Consider the following 24,254-nt stretch of genomic DNA (forward strand, 5'->3'; position numbering starts at 1 on the left):
TTTACTAGAAGAAATGACACAGAGAATGGAAGCCCTGGAAAATCGCCTGAGATACAGATGAAGATTAGAAATCGCGACACATTTGTAGTCATTGTATCACGGATTACAATGAACGCAGTGCAGAGCCCCAAAGCTCAGGCTATTGTTAAATCAATAATGTTGTGAAGTAAAACAATCAGTACTGAGAAACCTGGTTTGCCACAGAACAAAGACAAGAAGTATACACTAACTTGTATAAATTTATCTAGGAAAAAAATCCTTCAGAATTCTAAGATGAATTTACCAGGTGAGAATGAATAAGCTATGCAAGGTATTTTGTAATATACTGTGGACACAACTTGCTTCTGCCTCATCCTGCCTTAGTGTGCAATCTCATTTGACTATACGATAAAGTTTGCACAGTCTTACTTCTGTAGAACACTGGCCATAGGAAATGCTGTTTTTTTGTACTGGACTTTACCTTGATATATGTATATGGATGTATGCATAAAATCATAGGACATATGTACTTGTGGAACAAGTTGGATTTTTTATACAATATTAAAATTCACCACTTCAGAGAATGGTATTCAGTGCAAAAATTCTTAGTTTAACTTTAAATGGAAGATATGTATGTATGAGAAATGGCCAACATGCCTATGAAAAAAATGCTGAATCTCATCAGTAATCAGGAAAATGCAGGTTAAAACAATACCATTTTTCACCCATCAGCTTAGCAAAAATGAGTATATTTTTTAACAAGTGTTGGTAAGGATGTGGAAATGTGAGGTTCTTGTAGTAAGAATGCAAATGGCACTCTTTGTAGAGTAAGTCTGTTGACATCTCATAAAACTGAAAATGCACACAACCCTGTAAATCTAGCAACTGCACTCAGTTGATTTCAGCCCATACATACAAAGAGACCTGCATAAGAATGTTACTAGGCTTTGTAAAAGCAAAAAATAAGGAACAACTTAAACATCATCAGAAGGGGAACTGATAAACTCTGGTGTAATCCATACCACAGAAATACAACACCGCATGTACAGGAATGTGCTACATCTATACAAATAAATGGTCAAACTCAAAACAAAGATGACTTTAAAAAGAATGACAAAATGTTTAGCATACCATTCCTGAAAATTAAAAAAACAAAATAAAAAATGTCACGGTGAAACCCCGTCTCTACTAAAAATACAAAAAATTAGCCGGGTGTGGTAGTGGGTGCCTGTAGTCCCAGTTACTCAGGAGGTTGAGGCAGGAGAATGGCATGAACCCGGGAGGCGGAGCTTGCAGTGAGCCAAGATCGGGCCACTGCACTCCAGCCTGGGGACAGAGCGAGACTCCGTCTCAAAAAAAAAAATGAAAAGAAAAACCTAGATGGGTACCCCACTACACACCGAGGCTGTTTGTTATATACCCCATTGCTCCTAGACTACAAACCTGTACATCATGTTACTGAATACGGTAGACAACTGTAAAACAATGGTAAGTGTTGTATCTAAACACAGAAAAGGAATTTTTCAGCCTTATTATAATCTTATGGGATCACTGTTGTATATGCAGTCCATCACTGACCAAACGTCATTCTGAGGTGCATGACTATCAGTTCTGGCATTGCTGCCAAGGTGGCTCAATTCTACTTTACTCTCTGTTGTGTTCAGGCTCCACCTAGCGGCACAAAAGTCTGCCTCCTCCTTTTTAGCAATTAAATACCTTTCAACCTAACATTTTATCTCTCTGCCATGAGACTATGTATATGTATATATATATATATATATATATATATTTTAGCTATTAAACACATTTCTCCTGGGGGAAGAAAAACCTCATGGCAAAAAAAAAAAAGCCTCCAACCAATGCATTAAAATCTACAGATTAATCCAAGATATTTAACTTGAAGATTGTCTAAAATATTATTTCTCTATTTTGCTTGTTTTTGCCACTTGTAAATCTCAGAGTTCTGCATTCCATTTTCATCACTTATTGGATTTAATCTGCAAAATAAGGCTAATAATAATATTGAGTGGTCAGAGGATTAAATGAGTTAACATATACACTATTTTGTAAGGTACCTAAAACTTTTATTATTTATTTTTTGAGATGGAGTCTCGCTCTTTCACCCAGGCTAGAGTGCAGTGGCATGACCTTGGCTCACTGCAACCTCCGCCTCCTGGGTTCAAGCAATTCTCCTGCCTCAGCCTCCGACTAGCTGGGATTACAGGCAACTGCCACCATGCCTGGCTAACTTTTGCATTTTTAGTAGAGGAGGGGCTTCACCATGTGGCCAGGCTGGTCTTGAACTCCTGACCTCAGGTGATCAGTCAGCCTCAGCCTCCCAAAGGGCTGGCGTGAGCCAACACACCCGACCATATTATTTATTTTTAGAGACAGGGTCTTGCTCTGTCATCCAGGCTAGAGTGCAGTGGCACCACGATAGCTCACTGTAACCTCAACCTCTTGGGTTCAAGCAATCCTCCTGCCTCAGCCACCTGAGTAGCTGGCACCATAGGCCTGTGCCACCACAATGGGCTAATGTTTTTAACTTTTTTTGTAGAGATGGGGTCTCATTACGTTGCCCAGGCTGGTCTCAAACTCCTGGCCTTAAGTGATCCTCCTGCCTCAGCCTCCAGAAGTGCTGAGATTACAGGCATAAACCACAGTGCTGGACCCTAAAACATTTTAAATGCTCAGTATTAACTATTATATTTTTAGTCTTTAGCAGCCAAGAGTATTGGACACAAAGATGGTGCTGAGCTAAGTGTATGTTGAGTAAATGAAAAGACAGAATAAATTCTTTGCTGACCTGAGAAAAGTAATCTGGTAGATTCCCACCCCTAAACTATCTTTTGAAGCAAACAGGCAGTAGTAAATTAAATAATGGTAAATGCATAAGAAATTTAAGAACTACTATTAACAAAATTCTGAACTAGAAAGTCCCAAGTGTATCAATAAGAGAATTAAGTAAATGTTTAAGCCCTAGTAGTCATTATCCACTCTAATTTTTGATAAGTGACACGAAGTTGAATACCTTGAGTCCCTGTCCTGTAGCACCTTAGAGAGAGGTAATCAATGCCATAAAAAAAGGTACTAAGGTAACTCAGAAGCACCTGTTTTAGACTGGGTGCTAGGCTTACCCTCAGAACAAGCACAGGTAAGCCCAGAAAAGGGAGGAGTGGGGGAAGGAAACCAGATTCCACTGCAGGTGAAGGGAGCAGCAAGTCTAAGGAGTAGTTGGTAGTTGGAAGACAGGGGATGGAAAACTTTTCCATGACACAGATTATAATATTATCTTCCAGACGACCCAACTATTAATAGTTATATTCATAATCAGCCTAAAAGTTGGTTTCTTCTCTACATTCCTTTTGTTCCTGCCACCATCCCATACCAACCGCAATTCTTAACACACTCTACAATATCCAACCTCTTCTTTGAGATTTCTATTTCCATATCTAAGAGTTCAGTAGAGGTATGGTATGGAGTAAATCCAATTGGCTGCAATTTCCTACAATCCCCTGAATATTAGAGCTACCCACACACTGCTTTCATTATAATCAGAAAAGAACATTTTAAATGTCACCTTACACTTTCCCAGATCTTCCTGGCCAGTGTCACTTTCTCTCTGACAGCGGTTTAAGAGCACTTAATCAAAGGTAACATAGGCCAGAATGAGTAAGGAATGTTTCCTGTCTACTAGCTTTAAACTTCTTGTCTCTCTGAACTTTCTTGCTGAAAGAAAGAATCGTTGTGACTGCACAAAAAGAACATATAATGAAAAGGCAAAAACCAAATGTAGCATATTATCAACTACATAGACAGCCCTAGAAATCATAAATTTTCTAAAAAACCATCATTCCAAAATGCCTGCAGCCAAAAAACCACAACAGAAACCATGCAAAGAAAGGGTACACCAACATCTGCAATATTGTATTCTTTAGGTCACCACCCCCTGAGAAATTAAACTCGAGCTAGTCAACCTGGAGGAAAAACTAACCCAAATAGTGTGAAAAGTCACTATTTGGGACTTGTGGGAAAAACTGAGCAAGTAGATAAGCACGCAAACTACCTTAACCATGAGATTGAAACATTTTGAACTATGGGAACAAACTAACAAACACTATTAGAGACCAGTAGTCAGACCAAGTAATTCTTATCAAAGATTCAAATATTTTATATCACTTTGGCCACACGGGTCTCTGGATATGTAAACATGAACACCTTAGAACACTTAAAATCTTTCATATATTCAGTGACTCTTAACCAGGAGAGAAGCTAGTTTAAAAATGTGGTGACATTTGGGGGTGATTACAATGACATGGAAGGAAAACCAAGAATGAAAAATACCTGCAGAATCCACAGCCCTCCACAACAAAGAACTGTCCCATTACACAATGTCAGTAGTGCTCCCAAATTGAGAAATACTGAGTAAATGAACTGGTAAAACCATTAAAAACCAGACTCTCCAAAGTATTAATATATCCACAACCTCAGATTAACTTCGGACACAAACTAAAATCATGAGCTATTCCCTTGAAAAAAACTCCTAACCCCCGACTATCAAATTGGGAACATGACCCACCCAGGGCTGTTATATAGCTATTAAGAGCTGGGGTCCTCTGACTCCAAGTGCAGTAAATGCTTGATTTTCTGCATACTATTTAGAAGGCATCCTCATTTACTGTCTCACTCATCTACCATCAAAACTTGCCTGAAAGAGGGGAGGGAGAAAAGGAGCAAGGAGATTGAGTCTAAAATCCAAAAGACATTGTCTTTTCTGACACTTCTGTGGCCTCCCTCCCTCAAAGCCCAGCTGACTACATAGGGCATACCTTACTAGCACCATTCAACTCTGTAAATTAGTATCTAACTAAATCATTATTTCCCCTCAAATTAATTCTTTCGAATGTTCCAAAAGATATTAACATATGAAGGATTCCCTGGGACATACTCTTGGGGGATGCAGTATAGTTTCCAAAAATGTGAATACTTAACGTACTTCACAGTACATCTTTTAGGTGTATGATATAAAACATACTTGGGCAAACATGGACTTAACTATTGATGATCTGGGATTACTCAGAAATCGTCCAAGTGCACCAACCACTTAACTTAGGAAAGATTATTCATTAAAGTAAAACTTTTCTTAACCTATGACAGCATTTTGGATGGGGAAACATTTCAGTTAATCTTTTTTAGCTACTCAAATTTGGTAAATTGCAATTCTGGGTATTTAACCTTGTTACCTCCTAAGCATACTAGAATATAAAATGCAAACAATGTCCTGAGAATGGAATTACAAAACTTGAGCTTTCTAAACATCTAGTACTAGAAAGGAACCCAGTGCAGTCCCTTTACAAAAACTGGGCCAGGAGCAGTGGCTCACGCCTGTAATCCCAGCACTTTCAGAGGCTGAGGCCGGGGGATCACGAGGTCAGGAGATCGTGACCATCCTGGCCAACATGGTGAAACTCCGTCTCTACTAAAAATACAAAAAAAAAAAAAAAAATTAGCCAGGCGTGGTGGTGCGCACCTGTAGTCCCTGTTACTCAGGAGACTGAGGCAGGAGAATCGCTTGAACCTGGGAGGCGGAGGCTACAGTGAGCCAAGATTGCACCACTGCACTCCAAGCTGGGCGACAGAGCAAGACTGTCTCCAAAAAAAAAGAACAACAACAAAAAAACCCTGGAAAACAGAAATCAGGATGTGTAACTTTTTTTTTTTTTTTTTGAGATGGAGTCTTGCTCTGTCGCCCAGGCTGGAGTGCAGTGGCACGATCTCGGCTCATTGCAAGCTCTGTAGCTGGGACTGCAGGAACCCGCCACCACGCCCGGCTAATTTTTTTTGTACTTTTAGTAGAGATGGGGTTTCACTGCGTTAGCCAGGATGGTCTCGATCTTCCGACCTCATGATCCGCCCGCCTCGGCCTCCCAAAGGGCTGGAATTACAGGCGTGAGCCACCACGCCCGGCCCAGGATGTGTAACTCTTTACTGAAAAGTCTTGCCACCACATCTGCCTCATCCTCTCTAATCCAACCTTCAGGAAATTGTATTGAAACAAAAATAGAGAAAAATACTGAAATAGATACAATGTTTTTAAAACAAGCAAATTTTATTAAAGGAAAATTTTGCAGGTTTAAGGTTTGCAGGTGAAATTTTGTAGGTGAAAAGGTTTACTTTTCACCAGTCTGTTCTGGCATGCTTCTAATGATGTCAGAGTCACCTAAAAAATAAAAATAAAAAAACAGTAATTTTACAATTCATTTAATAGCAACTGGTACCATAAAATTTCTCTACCTTTGGTTATCCCTTCTGTAGACAATGGTCTGCAAATTAGCACTGACTTTTTGCAAAAGTTATCACATTAGCTGTACTGTCATTTTTCTTAAGGTTGACCAAAGATAACCTAGAATCACAGCCATTATATAATCACATAAAATGATCATATAATAAAATTGGTTTATCACCAGCATTTATAAAACCAGACCTAGGGAAAGAACTAGGTTTGGGGACACATGCATGGTCTTAATATAGCGAATGTTTAGCCTGTCCTGACTATTACAAAATCAGAACAGCGAGAATATTCGCAGTATTCTATGAATCAAAGATTCACAATTGGAAAACAGAATGATGTAGATTTTTTGGCACTTTTTTTTTTCTCAAGCTAATTTTACATGTCTGTTCTCAAGAAGCAAGAATTACTTTCTTCTGTTTTGCCAGATTATTCTCTCCTTATAATTTCACCTTTTACCAAATCTATGTCATTATTTCATAGGTACTTCATCAAATGAAATTCATTATCTGACAGTAAAAATTTTAACTTATAATAAAGCCAATTATAATGTATTGGCATTCATTACCAATTCTCTACAAAATACAACTACACGATATGCCTTGCTAGATCCATATTCTATCTGAATTTAGGAACCAAAGACATTTGCGTAGTAAGAAATACTTGTCCAGACATTACATTAGAAAGGCAAAAAAAAAAAAGACTTTATGATTTAAAAAGCATACCTGGATCAATGATAGCCAGTGTGCACACTCTGTAGTATTTTCCGCATGCTGTGCCCAGTTCAATATTATTGCCACTGTAGTGATGGACACCAGTTTTAGCCAACATAGCATAGTACTCTATTTCAGATTTCCTTTGGGAACCAAAATGGGCAAATAAATAAATGCGATACCAAGTGACTGACAGACTAAATGTTACTACTTCTTTTACTAGTGTTAATGTTGTTAAGGCCTTCAAAAAGTAACAAAATCACATATTACTCTTAAAAACATCATATTCATTATCCAATACAAACCAACATTTGTATGTATCCCTTGCAAGTGAAGGGGCAACCAGCAAATATCTAATCAACCCCTACTATGTTTAAGACAGTATCAATACTCACGGAAGAGGGTAAGATGCAAATAAAAGAAAGCAAAGCATTATCTAGCATTAGTAAGGACCACATACTTTATATTTCCATGACAATCTCTAAAGTAGGTATTATGTACTTTTTTTTTTGAGATGGAATCTCATTCTGTCGCTCAGGCGGATCGTGCAGTGGCACGATCTCAGCTCACTGCAACTTCCACCTCCCGAGTTCAAGTGATTCTCCTGCCTCAGCCTCTCAAGTAGCTGGGATTACAGGCGTGCACCACCACACCCAGCTAATTTTTTATATTTTTGGTAGATGGGGTTTCACCATGTTGGCCAGGCTGGTCTCGAACTCCTGACCTCAAGGGATCCGCCCGCCTCAGCCTCCCAAAGTGCTGGGATTACAGGTGTGAGCCACGGCACACAGCCCTATTCTTTTTTTTTTTTTTTAATCTAATGAAACTGAGCCACAGAATAGTAAGTGGAGGATCCAGAATCTAAACCTTTAAAAGATAAGCCATTTCTATCACCATCCCCTCAGTGCCCAGAATTCCAGATGGGAAGTGATACCGTTTTAGAGTTAAAATTTCTGGCCTCACGCGTGTAATCCCAGCACTTTGGGAGGCCGGATCACTTGAAGTCAGGAGCGTCAGACCAGCCTGGCCAACATGGTGAAACCTTGTCTCTACTAAAAATACAAAATTTCAGCGTCAAATTAGTAGATACTAATGGTTTTAGGAATCGGAAAGGAGTCCTATACTATCTTGCCACTCAATTATGTGAATCCACATACCAGCAATAGTGCTACAATGTATTAGTTAAAAAAACACCTCAAGCCGGGCACGGTAGCTCACACCTGTAATCTCAGCAGTTTGGGAGGCCGAGGTGGGTGGATCACCTAAGGTCAGGAGTCCGAGACCAGCCTGGCCAGCATGGCGAAACCCCATCTCTACTAAAAATACAAAAATTAGCCAGGCATGGTGGCAGGTGCCTGTAATCCCATCTACTCGGGAGGGTGAGGCAGAATTGCTTGAACCTGGGAGGCAGAGGTTGCAGTGAGCTTAGATTGTGCCATTGCACTCCAGCCGGGGTGACAAGAGCAAAACTCTGTCTTAAAAAAAATAAAATAATAAATGGCACCTCGGGCCCCATCCCAGATCCAATGAAATCAGAACTTGCATTTTAACATCACCCATGTGACTCCTTTGCACAGTCATGTTTCAGAAGCACTACTATAGAAGACAGGCTTTAAAGAAAGTTTCAAAGAATGGTTAGGGAAAAGCCGAACCCATGGGACAAGACAGAAAGGGCCCTCCAGGCTTTGACGGTAACTACAGACACCCTATATAAAATGCTGTAAGCAGCTTATGCATCACCACAGAAAATTTGCTCACATAGCTTATACTCTGCAAGGTCCAAGTTTGTTTGGCTTATTTACAACACCCCCTAAGTTCAATTTCAAAACAGTGAGTCAAGCATAAATCTTGACTCAGAACTGATTTAGCGGGCTAAACTAGGTGATTCTATGATAGCCTGCAACTCCATAGCCCAGCCTCAACTTTTCTTACCTAGTTTTTTGACACTAAAACAAGTTCACACAATGAAGCATCATTAAAGCACCTCAAAGCTAAAAGAACCAAAAAAGCAGGACACAAAATACATGGAAAAAACAGTAATGTGTCTGTGTTTCCATTAAACCTCGATGTTCTGTTTTCACTCCTGCCACACACACACATTTCTCCTCCAAAAATAAGCTCACAGAAGGGGAGCACACGATTTGGGGGTGGGTCGGGGAGACGGGAATGAAGGGCCAAACACCACAATCGCTACCGTAATTATCCTGCAAGTGTTCGAGTTCATGGTACTCAGATTACAAGTTTACACTCCTGTATATTCGTTCACGATGAATTCGCGGTAGGCGAAGCCCGTTCAGTCTCTTCGATTACCTCAAAGCTGGGCAGTTGTTAGCGAGAATGACCAATTTCGCTTTGCCTTGTCTGATCATCTTCAGAGTCTGCTTGTACCCCAGGACGTACTTCCCACTTTTCATAACGAGTTGGAGCCTAGAGTTGATCGACTCCAGCGACTTTTTCTACAAAGCAAACATTAAATACGGACCTAAGGGCCTCGCCTGCAACCGCCTCAAAACCGGACCCAGCTTTTTGAAGCCGAGCCCCTTAAACTTCCGAAGTCGAGGACCCCAAGTCATTGAGAGGGCCACTGGGATTCCTTCTGGGGCCCTCCAAATGCCAGCAGGCATGCTGTCACCCCCGTGGGCTCACATCTGCCCGCCCTGGCCAAGACATCTCTCCACGTGAATCGTCTTCCGGGCCTGGCCCGCCTCACTCACCGTCTTCTTTGCGGCCACCATCTTCCTGCCTTAGGAGCGGGACGGCCCCCAACCTAGAAGAGACAGAGAACAGGACAGGAATTTTAGGATCCGGAGTTACAAATGGCAACCCGCAAAGCTCCCCGCGCTGCCTAAACCTCGGTCGGTAGGAGCCCACTCACCAACAGCAGCCGCTAAGATGGCCGGGGAACGAGAAAGGAAAGACTTCCCACAATGCAAAGCTCTTCACGGCAGAGCCGGAACTGCGGGACCGGAAGCGGAAACAGATCGCAAGCAGAAGGGGCGGAGCAAAAGCGGAGGGCAGCTGCCGGTTGCTATTGGTACCGCTAGCTAGAATGGCTGCGGGGGCCGTACGCGGCTGCTCATACCTTTAATCCCAGCACTTTCGGAGGTTGAGGCGGGAAGATCTGTTGCGTCCAGCTCAAGGCCAGCCTGGACAACATAGACCACCCCTGTCTCTACAAAAAAATAAAAAAGAAATAAAAAAGAAATTAGCCGGGCGTGGTGGCGCGCTCCAGTAGTCCTAGCTACTCCCAGCTACGCCGGAGGCTGAGGCGGAGAGGTCGCTTGAGCTCGGTAGGTCGAGGCTGCAGTGAGCCATGATCGCGCCACTGCACTCAGCCTGGGCGACAGAGTGAGACTCTGTCTCAAAGAAGGAAAAAAAAGAATGACGGCGGGGGTGTTCTTTTCCCCCTCTGCGGGCCTTTAAGCTTCGCGGCGTTGTGTTGCTGTTCTGCTGCGAGCTGCGGTCTAACTAATCGAGGCGCTTAGAACCCGGAGGGAGTTCGAAAAGCCGACTGAAGGTGAGGTGGGAGGGTAGATGAGAAGAGGCTGCGGCGGCTGCGACCACGGTCTCAATGCCGCTGAATTCATCTTTGTCCTGAGGCGCGGCTCTTGGAGAGCCTTGTGGGTGACTCCGATGCGCCGCAGCACCCGCATTTACTCTCCGCTTGGTAGAAGCAGCTGTGTCCTCACCCCTGCGGTCACCCAAGTTACCTGTCCCCTGGAGAACGGTGGCGCCCTGCTCGAGTTTCCCAAAACTCGCCTTTTGTGACTGTGTTAGCGTGAACTTGTGAGCCGAGTTTGCACTGAGAGCGCGATAAACAGGTCTAATTTTTTAAAAGTATTTTTGCTGTTAACGTTGGATCTTGGTATAAATGTCCAGAGACAGACCACTGAAGATATTAGGCGCTGAAAATCCCCACCTAATCAATCAGACCAGTGGATAAGCTATATGAGGGAAACCTCTTCCCCTCCTTAATTAAGCCTCACCAAAAAACGCGTGCTGTACCAGGAATCATTTACATATATTTATTTAATACTCACAAAAGTCCCATGAGATAGTAACCTTTTTATTGTCCATTTTACATATCTAGGCCTATTGTCAGAGCTAGGACCAGAGCCCAGGTAACTTAGGTCTCTTCACAATTAAAGTTGATTCAGGCCGAATGCGGTGACTCACGCCTGTAATCCAAACATTTTGGAAGTCCGAGGTGAGCGGATCACCTGAAGTCAGGAGTTCGAGACCAGTCTGGTCAACATGGTGAAACCCCACCTCTACTAAAAATACAAAAAGTAGCCAGGTGTGGTGGCTCCTGCCTGCAATCCCAACTACTTGGGAGGCTGAAGCAGGAGAATCGCTTGAACCTGGGAGGCAAAGGTAGCAGTGAGCTGAGATCGGGCCACTGCACTCCAGCCTGGGCGACAAAGCGAGACTCCCTCTCAAAAAAAGTAATAAGGCCGGGCGCGGTGGCTCACGCCTGTAATCCCAACACTTTGGGAGGCCGAGGCGGGAGGATCACGAGGTCAAAAGATCGAGACCATCTTGGCCAACATGGTGAAACCCTGTGTCTACTAAAAATACAAAACTTAGCTGGGCTTGGTGGCGCGTGCCTGTAGTCCCAGCTACTTGGGAGGGTGAGGCAGGAGAATCACTTGAACCCAGGAGGTGGAGGTTGCAGTGAGCAGAGATCACGTCACTGCACTCCAGCCTGGTGACAGAGCGAGACTCTGTCTCAAAAAATAGTATAATTACTATTATACTTTAATTATTATTATATTAATTATTATAATTAATAATAAAATATATTTTAAAATAATAAAATAAAAATAACATTCATTCAAGTGTGTGCCCCTCTTTGATGAGAAATTAACCAAGTTGAATTAGATTATCATAGTACTTGCTTTAATATTTAGTCATAAATTACTTAACACTGCAAATCCAGATATCTGCCTTCCTCTATTACTCTAGTTGTATAAACAAACTCTTTTTGTTTTTTACTAATTTTAGAACTAACAGATAACTAGTTCTCTGACTTCAAGAAACTGAGACCTGGAGAAGTTGTGGTGCTGCTACCTGATAGAGTAAAGGTTGAAACACCAGTCAGCCTTTTAATCCTGTGTTATTTTTTTTTCCTGATCCACATTTCATTTGTGGTTGTCATCCTATTATAAAAGTTGAATCCTCAGGCCGGGCGCGGTGGCTTACGCCTGTAATCCCAGCACTTTGGGAGGCCGAGGCGGGCGGATCACGAGGTCAGGAGATCGAGACCATCCTGGCTAACACGGTGAAACCCCATCTCCGCTAAAAATACAAAAAAATTAGCTGGGCGTGGTGGCGGGCGCCTGTAGTCCCAGCTACTCGGGAGGCTGAGGCGAGAGAATGGCGTGAACCCGGGCCCAGAGCTTGCAATGAGCCGAGATCGCGCCACTGCCTCCAACCTGGGTGACAGAGCGAGACTCTGTTTCAAAAAAAAAAAAAGTTGAATCCTCAACAGCATTTTCTATTACAATTCACCCCACGTACCATTTGGAAATGTTTAGAGTCTGCCATTCACATTAGACATTCAGACATGAATCTTTTTTTTCCATTATCATCAAACATTTTTCTTAGACACTTGATATGCAAAGAACTACACCCTACCTTCAGGAGGCTAATAGTCATGTTGAGAAGGCAAGACCTATAAAGACAATTAGTACAACTCTTAACTGCCATATGAAGTCGTCGTTAACAGATGTTAAATGTTCATTCATTCCACAAACAGTACCATGTGCCATCACGTACCTTAAGCCCCTGGTCATATAAGATTCCTTCAGAAATCTTGCTGTCTATTGTCTGAAGGAAGGTATAAGCAAATAGCATAATGTGTTTATTTAACAAATATATATGATGAATTCATCCTCACTCCAGGCACTAAGAATATACAAAGACATGGTGACTGTTCTTAAAGAGCCTACTATCTAGCTAGGCCTTAAAGAAGACTAATATAGGAATAATTAGTTTTGTATAGACTTTCATGTACTTTTCACAAACCTTAACTCATGGTTACAATAACCTCATAGGCATTGTTATCCTTATTTTACAAGGGCTAAGATTAGAGCCAAAAGTTGTTATATTATTTAGTAAAGGTTAGACAGGTAAGCTGAGATTTGAAGTCAAGCACTTTGCAGGATTAACTGAAATCAAGGAGGGGATGCATTCTAGTCAAGAGCAGAAGCAAAGCTAAAAGGTGCTCGCTTCAGCAGCACGTATACTGAAAATTAGAACGATGCAGAGAAGTTAGCATGACCCCTGTGCAGTGATGACACACAAATTCGTGGAAAAAAAAAAAAAAAAAAAGCTAAAACGAGACAAGAGTGGTTACAATTTGGCTGGAATATAGCATTCATGAGAAGGAAGGAGAAAAAAACAATACAAAAGAAAAGTGGAATGTTAAAGCTTTAAATGTTACAAGTGTAAGTTTGCTTTAGAGTGGAATTATAAGAAATTTTATGCTCAAATTTTGCTGCCTTTTCTAACCTTTTCCCAGAAATTTATTTAAATCCCTGGAGATTCCTTGTCCATTACTGAATAGCCTTTGGGAGAAGCTCTCTGAATGGAAGAGGTATGTTGATCAGTGATGCCATTGGGACCTGAAAACAGTGAAGGCTCTAAAATAGCCACCACGGCCAGGCACGGTGGCTCACGCCTGTAATCCCAGCACTTTGGGAGGACGAGACAGGCGGATCACGAGGCCAGGAGATCAAGAACATCCTGGCTAACATGGTGAAACCCCGTCTCTACTAAAAATACAAAAAAATTAGCCAGGCGTGGTGGCGGGTGCCTGTAGTCCCAGCAACTTGGGAGGCTGAGGCAGGAGAATGGTGTGAACCCGGAAGGCGGATCTCTCATTGAGCCGAGGTCGCACCACTTGCACTCCAGCCTGGGCAACAGAGCAAGACTCCATCTCAAAAAAAAAAAAAAAAATTAAATAGCCACCAGGAAAATTAAAGTTAGGTATAAAATAGGTTAAGAAAAAGGCGCTCTCGAAGGACAGATTGACAGTGTGTCAAAACAGAAAGAACATACCTATATAAGCATTTCATATGAGGATATACAAGATGACAGTGGCTTCCTCAGGAAAATGGGATTGGAGGTTGGAAGGAGGTAGAGAAGCACTTTTTAATTATATTCCCTTCTGTGCTATTTGAGTCTTTTGGCCCAGTGATTCAACTTTTAGGAATTTATCCTACAGAAGCAGTCACAGAGTTGCTGAAAGACATGGGAACAAGAGTATTTATTTCAGCTTTATTTATTCATTTTTTGAGACCGAATCTCCCCCTGTTGCCCAGGCTGGAGTGGTGTGGCATGATCTCGGCTCACTGCAACCTCCGCTTCCTGGGTTCAAGTGATTCTCCTGCCCAGCTAATTTTTGCATTTTTAGTAGAGACAGGGTTTCGCCATGTTGGCCAGGCTGGTCTCAATTTTCTGGGCCCAAGCAATCCACCCGCCTTGGCCTCCCAAACTGCTGGGATTACAGGCGTGGGCCACCGTGCCTGGGCAGCATTATTTATAACAGCAAAAAATTAGAAACATCAAATGCTCATCATTCTTAATATACAATCATGCACTGCATAATGTTTTGGACAGTCATGGACCACATATACAACAGTGGTCCCATAAGATTATAATACATTATTTTTACTGTACCTCTTCTGTGTTTAGATACACAAATACCACTGTGTTACTGTTGTCTACAGGCACAGTAACACGCTGTACAGATTTGTAGCCTAGGAGCAACAGGCTATACCATATAGCCTAGGTGTGTAGTAGGCTATACCATCTAGGTTTGTGCAAGTACACTCTGATGTTCAAACACAATGAAATCGCCTAACAATGTAGTTTTCAGAATGAATCCTTGTCATTAAGTGATGAATGACTATATATTTGTATAGGCATAGAAAAAAGTCTAGAAAACTATATATTTGTATAGGCATAGAAAAAAGTCTGGAAAAGTCAGATATCAAAACAGAGAGAAATGAGAAGAGTGAGCGATGAGGAAGGGACCTTTACTTTTTCTTTAGGTTTTTTTAGTACTGCTTGAATTATTTTACAGTAAGCATTAATTATTGTTACATAAAAACTTCCTTTTTAATATTAATAATAAAGTGTTCTTTTACAATAAATGTCTCATGAAACATCAATTACACCTCAATGTAGTACTTCTCAAAGTCTGGCTCTCATATCACCTGCATCAAAATCAATGATTCAAACTCCTGGACCCCACCTAGGCCTATGGAAGAAATCTCTGGGTGTGGGTCCTGGGAATCTGAGTTTAACAGTCATCCTAGGTAATTATTATAATTACTAAAATTTGAGAATTAGAGACCTAAAGAATGAGATAGCCAAATTGGTTCTGAGACATGCCTGCTTAGATAGAGGTATAAAGTAAACAGTAATGATCCCTTGTATTGAGTGTTCTACTTTCTTTTTTTTTAATTTTTTTAAATTTTTTTTAGTATTTATTGATCATTCTTGGGTGTTTCTCGGAGAGGGGGACTTGGCAGGGTCATAGGACAACAGTGGAGGGAAGGTCAGCAGATAAACATGTGAACAAAGGTCTCTGGTTTTCCTAGGCAGAGGACCCTGCCGCCTTCCGCGGTGTTTGTGTCCCTGGGTACTTGAGATTAGGGAGTGGCGACGACTCTTAACGAGTATGCTGCCTTCAAGCATCTGTTTAACAAAGCACATCTTGCACCGCCCTTAATCCATTTAACCCCGAGTGAACACAGCATATGTTTCAGAGAGCACGGGGTTGGGGGTAAGGTTATAGATTAACAGCATCCCAAGGCAGAAGAATTTTTCTTAGTACAGAACAAAATGGAGTCTCTTATGTCTACTTCTTTCTACACAGACACAGTAACAATCTGATCTCTCTTTCTTTTCCCCACATTTCCCCGTTTTCTATTCGACAAAACCGCCATCGTCACCATGGCCCGTTCTCAATGAGCTGTTGGGTACACCTCCCAGACAGGGTGGCGGCTGGGCAGAGGGGCTCCTCACTTCCCTGACGGGGCGGCCGGGCAGAGGCGCCCCCCCACCTCCCAGACTGGGCGGCGGCTGGGCGGAGGCGCCCCCCACCTCCCAGACGGGGCGGCTGGCCGGGCGGGGGCTGCCCCCCACCTCCCAGATGGGGCAGCTGCCGGGCGGAGGGGCTCCTCACTTCCCAGACGGGGCTGCTGCCGGGCGGAGGGGCTCCTCACTTCCCAGACGGGGCGGCTGCCGGGCAGAGGAGCTCCTCACTTCTCAGACGGGGCGGCCGGGCAGAGACGCTCCTCACCTCCCAGACGGGGTGGCGGCCGGGCAGAGACGCTCCTCAGTTCCCAGATGGGGTCGCGGCTGGGCAGAGGCGCTCCTCACATCCCAGACGGGGCGGCAGGGCAGAGGCGCTCCCCACATCCCAGACGATGGGCGGCCAGGCAGAGATGCTCCTCACTTCCTAGACGGGGTGGCGGCCGGGCAGAGGCTACAATCTCGGCACTTTGGGAGGCCAAGGCAGGCGGCTGGGAGGTGGAGGTTGTAGCGAGCCGAGATCACACCACTGCACTCCAGCCTGGGCAACATTGAGCACTGAGTGAGCGAGACTCCGTCTGCAATCCTGGCACCTCGGGAGGCCGAGGCGGGCAGATCACTTGCGGTCAGGAGCTGGAGACCAGCCCAGCCAACACGGCGAAACCCCGTCTCCACCAACAAATACAAAAACCAGTCAGGTGTGGAGGCGCACGCCTGCAATCCCAGGCACTCCGCAGACTGAGGCAGGAGAATCAGGCTGGGAGGTTGCAGTGAGCCGAGATGGCGGCAGTAGAGACCAGCCTCCGCTCGGCATCAGAGGGAGACCATGGAAAGCGGGAGAAGGGGAGGGGGAGGGGGAGGGGGAGGGGTGTTCTACCTTCAAAGCTTTTTTTTTTTGAGACAGTCTTGCTCTGTCACCCAGGCTGGAGTACAATGGTGCAATCTTGGCTCACTGCAACCTCCACCTCCCGGGTTCAAGCAATTCTCTTGCCTCAGCCTCCCAAGTAGCTGGGATTACAGGCACCCGCCACCACGCCCAGCTAATTTTTTGTATTTTTAATAGAGACAATTTTTTGCCATGTTGGCCAGGCTGGTCTTGAACTCCTGACCGCGTGATCCACCCGTCTCAGCCTCCCAAAGTGCTTTTTTTTTTTTCCTTTCTTTCTATTTTTTTTTTTTTTTTTTTTTTTTTTTGAGACAGGGTCTTGCTCTGTCACCCAGGCTGGAGTACAGTGGCACAGTCAAGGTTCACTGCAACAACCTCCCTGGCTCAAGGGATCTTCCCACCTCAGCTTCTGAGTAGCTGGGACTACAGATGTGTGCTGTCATGCCTAGCTTATATATATATTAATCTCTCATATATATTTATTTATTATAGAGACAGGTTTCACTATATTGCCCAAGCTGGTCTTGAACTCCTAGGCTCAAGCGATCTTCCCATCTTGGCCTCCCAAACTGCTGGGATTACAAGAACTTGCCTCAAAGCATTTGTTTTATTTATTTTTTGAGACCAAATCTCACTGTCATCCAGGCTGGAGTGCAGTGGCACAGTCACAGCAACCCCGACCTCCTAGGCTCAAGCAATTCTCCTGCATCAGTCTCCAGAGTAGCTGGGACCACAGGTACATGCCACCATGCCCAGTTAACTTTTAAATTATTTCTAGAGATGAGAGCTCACCATGTTGCCCAGGCTGGTCTTGAACTCCTGGCCCCAATTGAACCTCCTGCTTAAACCTCCCAAAGTACTAGGGTTATAGATGTGAGCTGCTGTGCCAAAGTTTTTATTTATTAATTTAGGGGAGGAGATAGAAGGAGAGGAGAGAAAGGAGCACAAAGCTTTTTTTTTTTTTTTTTTTTTTTTTCTTTTTTGAGACAGGGCCTTGCTCTGTCACCCAGGCTGGAGTACAGTGGCAGTGATCTTCACTCACTGCAGCCTCCGCCTCCCGGGTTCAAGCGATTCTCCCACCTCAGCCTCCCTAGTAGCTGAGACTACAAGCACTCGACACCATGCCCGGCTAATTTTTGTATTTTTTGGCGGAGTTGGGGTTTCACCATGTTGGTTAGGCTGCTGTCGAACTTCTGACTTCAAGTGATCTGCCTGCCTTGGCCTCCCAAAGTGCTGGGATTACAGGTGTGAGCCACTGTGACTGGCCGCAAAGCTTTTAAATATTCACTTTCCTCCAAAGTAATCAGGATAGTTGCTGTCCCTGTTTTAGAGAATAAATGATTAAAGTGCATGAGGTAACTTTTCTGAGGCACTTTTCTTTATATGATACCAAGTATCCCATCCCAATTATGTGCTATGGTTTGAATATTTGTGTTCCTTCCAAAATTTATAGGTTGAAACCTAATCCCCCAATGCGAGTGTTAGCAGGTGGAGCCTTTAAGAGATAATTAAGTCATGAGGGCAGAGCCCCGATGAATGGATTAATGCCATAAAAAGGGCCATGAGAAGGTTCATAGTCTCTTTTGCCCTTCTGCCTTGTGAAGATGAAGTATTCATACCTGCAGAGGATGCCGCATTCCAGGCACCATCTTAGAATAAGAATCACCAAACCTGCTGGCACCTGGATATTGAGCTTCCCAGCCTCCAGAACTGTGAGCCAATAAATTTCTGTTTATAAATTAACCAGTCTCAAGTGTTCTGTTAAAGCAGCAGGAAAAGACTAAGATACTATGTGTCCTCACTATACTTTAAAGAAAGGACTTAGTTGCTTTCTCCCAAGGATCTTACCATGATTTTGTACTGGAAACCAGTGAAGCCCAAAGCACTCATTTTGTGTCTGAATCATGACCACAAAATGGGAATGCCTCCTAGGGAATCTTAACTGAATCCATTCTACCTCTCTTTGGAGACAGACTTGGGGCCTTGGTTTCTCTTTCTGTCTCTCTCTCTTTTTTTTTGTTTTTAAAGATGGAGTTCTCATTTTGTTGCCCAGGCTGGTTTCGAACTCTTCCTGAAGCAGTCCTCCTGCCTCAGCCTCCCGCAGTTCTGGGATTACAAGTGTGACCCACTGTGCCTGGTTAACATTTCTCTTTCATACCTGCATGACTTTGAGCAATTTTTAAAATCTCTGCAGCCAGGTGCGGTGGCTCACACCTGTAATCCCAGCACTTTGGGAGGCTGAGGTTGGTGGATCACCTAAGGTCAAGAATTCAAGACCAGCTTGGCCAGCATGGTGAAACCCAGTCTCTACCAAAAACACAAAAATTAGCCGGGCGTGGTGGTGCACGCCTGTAATCCCAGCTACTTGGGAGTCTGAGGCAGGAGAATTGCTCAAACCCGGGAGGCGGAGGTTGCAGTGAGGTGAGATCATGCTGCTGCACTCCAACCTGGGTGACAGAGTGAGACTCTATCTCAAAAAAAAAAAAAAAAAAAAAAATCTCTGTAAGCCCCAGTGTCCTCATCAATAAAACTGGATAAAATAGGATAGGCCAGGCGCAGTTGCTCATGCCTGTAATCCCAGCTCTTTGGGAGGCAGAGGTGGGTGGATCACTTGAAGTCAGGAGTTCGAGACCAGCCTGACCAACATGGTGAAACCCCATCTCTACTAAAAATACAAATATTAGCCGGGCATGCTGGCATGCGCCTGTAATCCCAGCTACTCAGGAGGCTGAGGCAGGAGAATCGCTTGAACCCAGGAAGCAGAGACTGTAGTGAGCTGAGATCGTGCGACTGCACTCCAGCCTGGGCAACAGAGTGAGACTCTGTCTCAAAAGCAAACAAAAAAACTGGATAAAAGAAAGATGTGTACCTCATAGTATTGTTGTGAGGATCACAGTAAATATAGCGCCGATCACAGGGCCCTGTACAGGAAAACCAGGCAGTGGATATTCCTCAATCTCACTCCTACCACCACACCACCGCAACCCACACATACCTTCTGCAGTTAATCACAACAGAACAAAACCTATACTCTAGAGGGAGAAACACTTGCAATGCAAAAAAGACAGCCAAATTTCTTTGGTTCATGAATATTTTGTAAATATTTCCACACACATACTTATTAGAGCAGGGGCTGGCAAACTTTTTGTTGAGAACAAAATAGTAAATATTTTAGGTCTTTAGGTCCATATGGTCTCTGTGACTACTCAGTTCTGCAGCTGTAGCACAAAAGCAGCCATAGACAATATGTAAAGGAATGGGCACGAATGTGTTCCAATAAAACTTTATTCACAAAATCAGGCAGCGGCTGAATCTGGCGTGCAGACTATAAGAAGATTACTATTATAAAACATAACTACTTTTAAGTCATATAGAGAATACCCTTATTCTAAAGAGATGTACATTGACATATTTGGGTGAAATATCATGATTTCTTCCATTTATTTTCAAGCAGTTCAAATAAAAAGTGATGTAGATAGGCAGGTAGAACAAATGCAGCGAAATGTTAATTGTTGAATTTAGGTGGAGGATATATGAGTGCTCATTTTACTGTTCAACTTTTTGTAAATTTAAAAACCTTCATACCAAAAAGTTGGGAAATGTGTATGTTTTAAGAAAGGACTTTGCCATCTAGATGTTATTTTTTCTGATGCTAGGCTAGCATTTCAGAGTGACTTTGAAAGAATACCAACAGGTAAATGTTGGACAGAATTAACACAAGGCCCTCCTTTGGTTTTCCTTCACCAAAATGGCTGCTCCAAGTTTCTGAGAACTCTGTATGCACCTGAAATTATTGTGCTTCTGGCTTTTATTTGCTAGGAGAATTAAAAGTGACAAGGCTGCATTTGCTGTTGGAGCAAGTGCTAACAAGTTCATCTGATTTGTATTGGCCCATCTACTTATTGTCAAGCAGTGAAAACTATCATATTCATTGTCATCTAATATTTAGTGTTCAGATTAGGAAGCAGCCTATTAGTGATCTGGAACTTAATTTGCCTAACTCAACCTTCATATTCTTACCAGTCATCCTGGACATTAAACATGCTCACAAAGATCAAGAGAGGGAAGGACAATGAATCCAAGTGAGAGGACCTTGTAAACTCAGTGAAAGCTCTTGGCCTTACAGCTAACTAAAACATACATAGGCTGGGCACGGTGGCTCATGCCTGTAATCCTAGCACTTTGGGAGGCCAAAGTGGGAGGATCACTTGAGCCCAGGATTTTGAGACCAGCTTGGGCAACATAGTGAGACTCCATCTCTATTAAAAAAAAATTCTTTTTAATTACCCAGGCATGGTGGCTGGCATGTGCCTGTGGTCTCAGCTATGCTGAAGGCTGAGGTGGGAGGATTGCTTGAGCACAGGAGGTCAAGGCTGCAGTGAGCCGTGATTGTGCCACTGCACTGCAGCCTAGGCAACAAAGCAAGACTGTCTCAAAAACAAACAAAACCCACAAAACATTAAAACATATATACACCTAATCAGAATTCTGAATAGGGGACAAGAGGGAATGAAGGTTACCTATTCATCTCTACCATTTCTGCCTCCACAATAATACGGAATCTGAAATATTTCTTCAATATTTCTTTCTGTTCAGACTAGGAGTGCTCTAGACTCTTAACAGTTTTGTTTTCTGGCCTTCACACTCTACATATCCTGCTGGACTTGGTTAAAAATAGGCCAGATAATGCTTTCTCCCATTTTTTTCTAAAATGTTTTTTAATCCAAGGAAGCATATGCTTTTTATATTCTGGGGTACAGAGAGCTCACAGTACTTTATTCACTATTTTACTGTGGAGAAGTGACACTTCTGGAAAGTAAAACGGTATCTAAAAAGGTTGGTTTTTTGGTTGATTTACATTTCTTAGAGTCAGTTTTTGAAATTTTAATATAACTGATATTCCTGTGTGTCTTTGTCCACAAAAGTATGAAGTTTTACGTATCATTTGCAATGATTTGAAAAGTCTACAATGTACTTTTGTCCTTAATAAAGCCGGGAAGCACAAGCTAAGACATCACATGTTTTTTTCTTTTAATCAGAATAATATTAATGTAACACTGCATGTCATGCTGATCAGAAAATATCAGTGATTACTTAATGGAGAAATATAAATGCAATCTTGTGATAAAATCAAAACGTAAGTATGTAGAAGAAAAATGATAAAAGGAGTCCTTGGAGGTGAAAAGATTTATGAATTACTGTCTGAGATATTTTCAGCTATAAAAATCACAGTATCAGGCCAGGCTAGGTGGCTCACGCCTGTAATCCCAGCACTTTGGGAGGCCAAGGCAGATGGATCACTTGAGCCCAGGAGTTCAAAACTAGCCTGGGCAAGATGGCAAAACTCCATCTCTATTAAAAATACAAAAACTTAGCCAGGTGAGGTGGCCCGTGCCTGTAGTCCCAGCTACTCAGGATGCTGAGGTGGGAGAATCACCTGAGCCCGGGAAGTCGAGGCTGAGGTGAGCTGTGATCATGCCACTGCACTCCAGCCTGGGCAACAGGAGTGAGACCCTGTCTCAAAAATAATAATAATAATAATTTTTTTTTTTTTTGAGACGGAGTCTCACTCTGTTGCCCAGGCTGGAGTGCAGTGGCACGATCTCGGCTCATTACAAGCTTCGCCTACTGGGTTCACGCCATTCTCCTGCCTCAGCCTCCCAAGTAGCTGGGACTACAGGCATCCGCCACCATGCCCGGCTGATTTTTTTTGTATTTTTAGTACAGACGGGGTTTCACCATGTTATCCAGGATGGTCTCGATCTCCTGATCTCGTGACCCGCCTGCCTCAGCCTCCCAAAGTTCTGGGATTACAGGCGTGAGCCACCGTGCCTGGCCAAATTTTAATCACAGTATCAGTTATGACCTGGTATTAAGCTAGTCATCAAATAAGACTAAAGGAATAAGACAGGACAGGTAATTGTTGAGAAAGCAGTCAGGAAAAGGGGAGGTGGTATAAGTATGTGTATTAGTTTGGAGACTTGTAAGCAGCAGAAACAAAGTAGCTCAACTAAGCAGAAAGGAAATTTACTTTGTAGTTCAACAGGCACAGTGGCTCATGCCTGTAATCCTAGCACTTTGAGACGCCTAGGAGGGAGGATCACGTGAGCTCAGGAGTAGTTTGAGACCAGCCTGGGCAACATGGTGAAACCTCGTCTCTACAAAAAAAAAAAAAAATACAAAAGTTAGCCAGGCATCATGGCATGCCTGTAGTCTTAGCTACTTGGGAGGCTGAAGTGGGAGGATGGCTTGAGCCCGGGGGGGGTGGAGGTTGAGTCAGCTGAGATTGCGCCACTGTGCTCCAGCCTGGGTGACAGAGCCAGATCCTGTTTCAAAAAAAAAAACAGACAAAACCAAAACCAAAACAAACAAACAAACAAAAACACAAATGAACAAGAAGCCAGATCTGCATATACAGGTCATGAGAGAAGCAGCACAAGTTGTTAGTCACTGATTCAGAGCACACCATGCAAACTGCAGGGTGGCACCTCAGTCTTACCTTGTCTGGTACTATAATTGAGTGTTGTTGTTTTTTTGACAGAGTCTCGCTATGTCACCCAGGCTGGAGTGCAGTGGCGTGATCTCGGCTCACTGCAACCTCTGCCTCCCAGGTTCAAGCGATTCTACTGCCTCAGCCTCCCGAGTAGCTGGGATTACAGATATGTACCACCACTCCTGGCTAATTTTTGTATTTTTAGTAGAGATGGGGTCTCGCCATGTTGGCCAGGCTGGTCTCGAACTCCTGGCCTCAAGTGATCTGTCTGCCTCAACCTCCCAAAGTACTGGGATTACAGTCATGAGCCACCACACCTGGCCAATTTTTTTTTTTTTTGAGATGGAGTTTCACTCTTATTACCCAGGCTGGAGTGCAATGGTGCGATCTTAGCTCACTGCAACCTCCACCTTCCGGGTTCAAGCGATTCTCCTGCCTCAGCCTCCTGAGTAGCTGGGATTACAGGTGTGCAGCACCACGCTCAGCTAATTTTTTGTAGTTTTAGTAGAGACAGGGTTTCACCATGTTAGGCAGGCTGGTCTCCAACTTCTGACCTCCGGTGATCTGCCCGCCTCTGCCTCCCAAAGTGCTGGGATTACAGGCGTGAGCCACCGCGCCCGGCCCTGGCCAAATGTTCAATGTGCCATTCCACCATTGTATATGTTTGGCTGCTTCTGGATGATGAAGTAAATGGAAAGACCAGTAAATCACACAGAAATTAACCTATTGCCTTACTTGTCTCACAATACCTTACTCACAATAAAATGAGTTCCTTGATAAGATACAGTACGGTCGTCCATCAGTATCTGTGGGGGATTGGTTCCAAGGCCCCCTCCCCTAGGATACCAA

At 43.4% G+C, this 24,254-nt stretch overlaps 2 protein-coding genes, 1 non-coding gene and 1 pseudogene across 6 annotated transcripts in view, besides 5 other annotated features; 2 read left to right on the forward strand and 2 right to left on the reverse strand.

The window, feature by feature from the left end:
* Positions 1 to 1,073, forward strand: part of MATN2 (matrilin 2) — a 167,661-nt gene extending 166,588 nt beyond the window's left edge. For all 4 annotated transcript variants that reach the window (NM_002380.5, NM_030583.4, XM_005250920.3 and 1 more), the window contains one exon: positions 6 to 1,073. In NM_002380.5, coding sequence (NP_002371.3) covers positions 6 to 61 — 56 coding nt within the window. In that variant the 3' untranslated portion in view covers positions 62 to 1,073. The remainder of the gene's footprint in view (positions 1 to 5) is intronic.
* Positions 1,410 to 1,519: an enhancer, noted in NCBI's record as "active region_27671". NCBI's record gives its function as "activates an Ori minimal core promoter by ATAC-STARR-seq in GM12878 lymphoblastoid cells {active_cell/tissue: GM12878}" and the evidence as "EXISTENCE:reporter gene assay evidence [ECO:0000049][PMID:35858748]".
* RPL30 (ribosomal protein L30) lies at positions 6,070 to 9,894 on the reverse strand. The gene is made up of 5 exons (NM_000989.4): positions 9,857 to 9,894; positions 9,696 to 9,748; positions 9,292 to 9,437; positions 6,994 to 7,124; positions 6,070 to 6,199 (listed from the first exon to the last, which is right to left on the reverse strand). The coding sequence occupies exons 2-5, from the start codon at positions 9,714 to 9,716 to the stop codon at positions 6,150 to 6,152; spliced, it is 348 nt and encodes a 115-aa protein (NP_000980.1). The 5' UTR covers positions 9,717 to 9,748; positions 9,857 to 9,894; the 3' UTR covers positions 6,070 to 6,149.
* On the reverse strand, positions 6,435 to 6,566 carry SNORA72 (small nucleolar RNA, H/ACA box 72). The gene is given in 1 exon segment (NR_002581.1): positions 6,435 to 6,566. It is a non-coding gene; the product is annotated as a small nucleolar RNA, H/ACA box 72 (small nucleolar RNA).
* Positions 9,826 to 9,975: an enhancer, noted in NCBI's record as "active region_27672". NCBI's record gives its function as "activates an Ori minimal core promoter by ATAC-STARR-seq in GM12878 lymphoblastoid cells {active_cell/tissue: GM12878}" and the evidence as "EXISTENCE:reporter gene assay evidence [ECO:0000049][PMID:35858748]".
* Positions 10,042 to 10,978: an enhancer, noted in NCBI's record as "NANOG-H3K27ac-H3K4me1 hESC enhancer chr8:99057921-99058857 (GRCh37/hg19 assembly coordinates)". NCBI's record gives its function as "activates a minimal SCP1, AML or CMV promoter by ChIP-STARR-seq in naive H9 embryonic stem cells {active_cell/tissue: H9 hESC(naive)}" and the evidence as "EXISTENCE:reporter gene assay evidence [ECO:0000049][PMID:30033119]".
* Positions 10,146 to 10,205: an enhancer, noted in NCBI's record as "active region_27673". NCBI's record gives its function as "activates an Ori minimal core promoter by ATAC-STARR-seq in GM12878 lymphoblastoid cells {active_cell/tissue: GM12878}" and the evidence as "EXISTENCE:reporter gene assay evidence [ECO:0000049][PMID:35858748]".
* Positions 10,226 to 10,275: an enhancer, noted in NCBI's record as "active region_27674". NCBI's record gives its function as "activates an Ori minimal core promoter by ATAC-STARR-seq in GM12878 lymphoblastoid cells {active_cell/tissue: GM12878}" and the evidence as "EXISTENCE:reporter gene assay evidence [ECO:0000049][PMID:35858748]".
* On the forward strand, positions 13,205 to 13,311 carry RNU6-703P (RNA, U6 small nuclear 703, pseudogene; annotated as a pseudogene).

The sequence above is a fragment of the Homo sapiens genome, chromosome 8 (assembly GCF_000001405.40).
Source record: "Homo sapiens chromosome 8, GRCh38.p14 Primary Assembly".
In the NCBI taxonomy this organism is placed as follows: domain Eukaryota; kingdom Metazoa; phylum Chordata; class Mammalia; order Primates; family Hominidae; genus Homo; species Homo sapiens.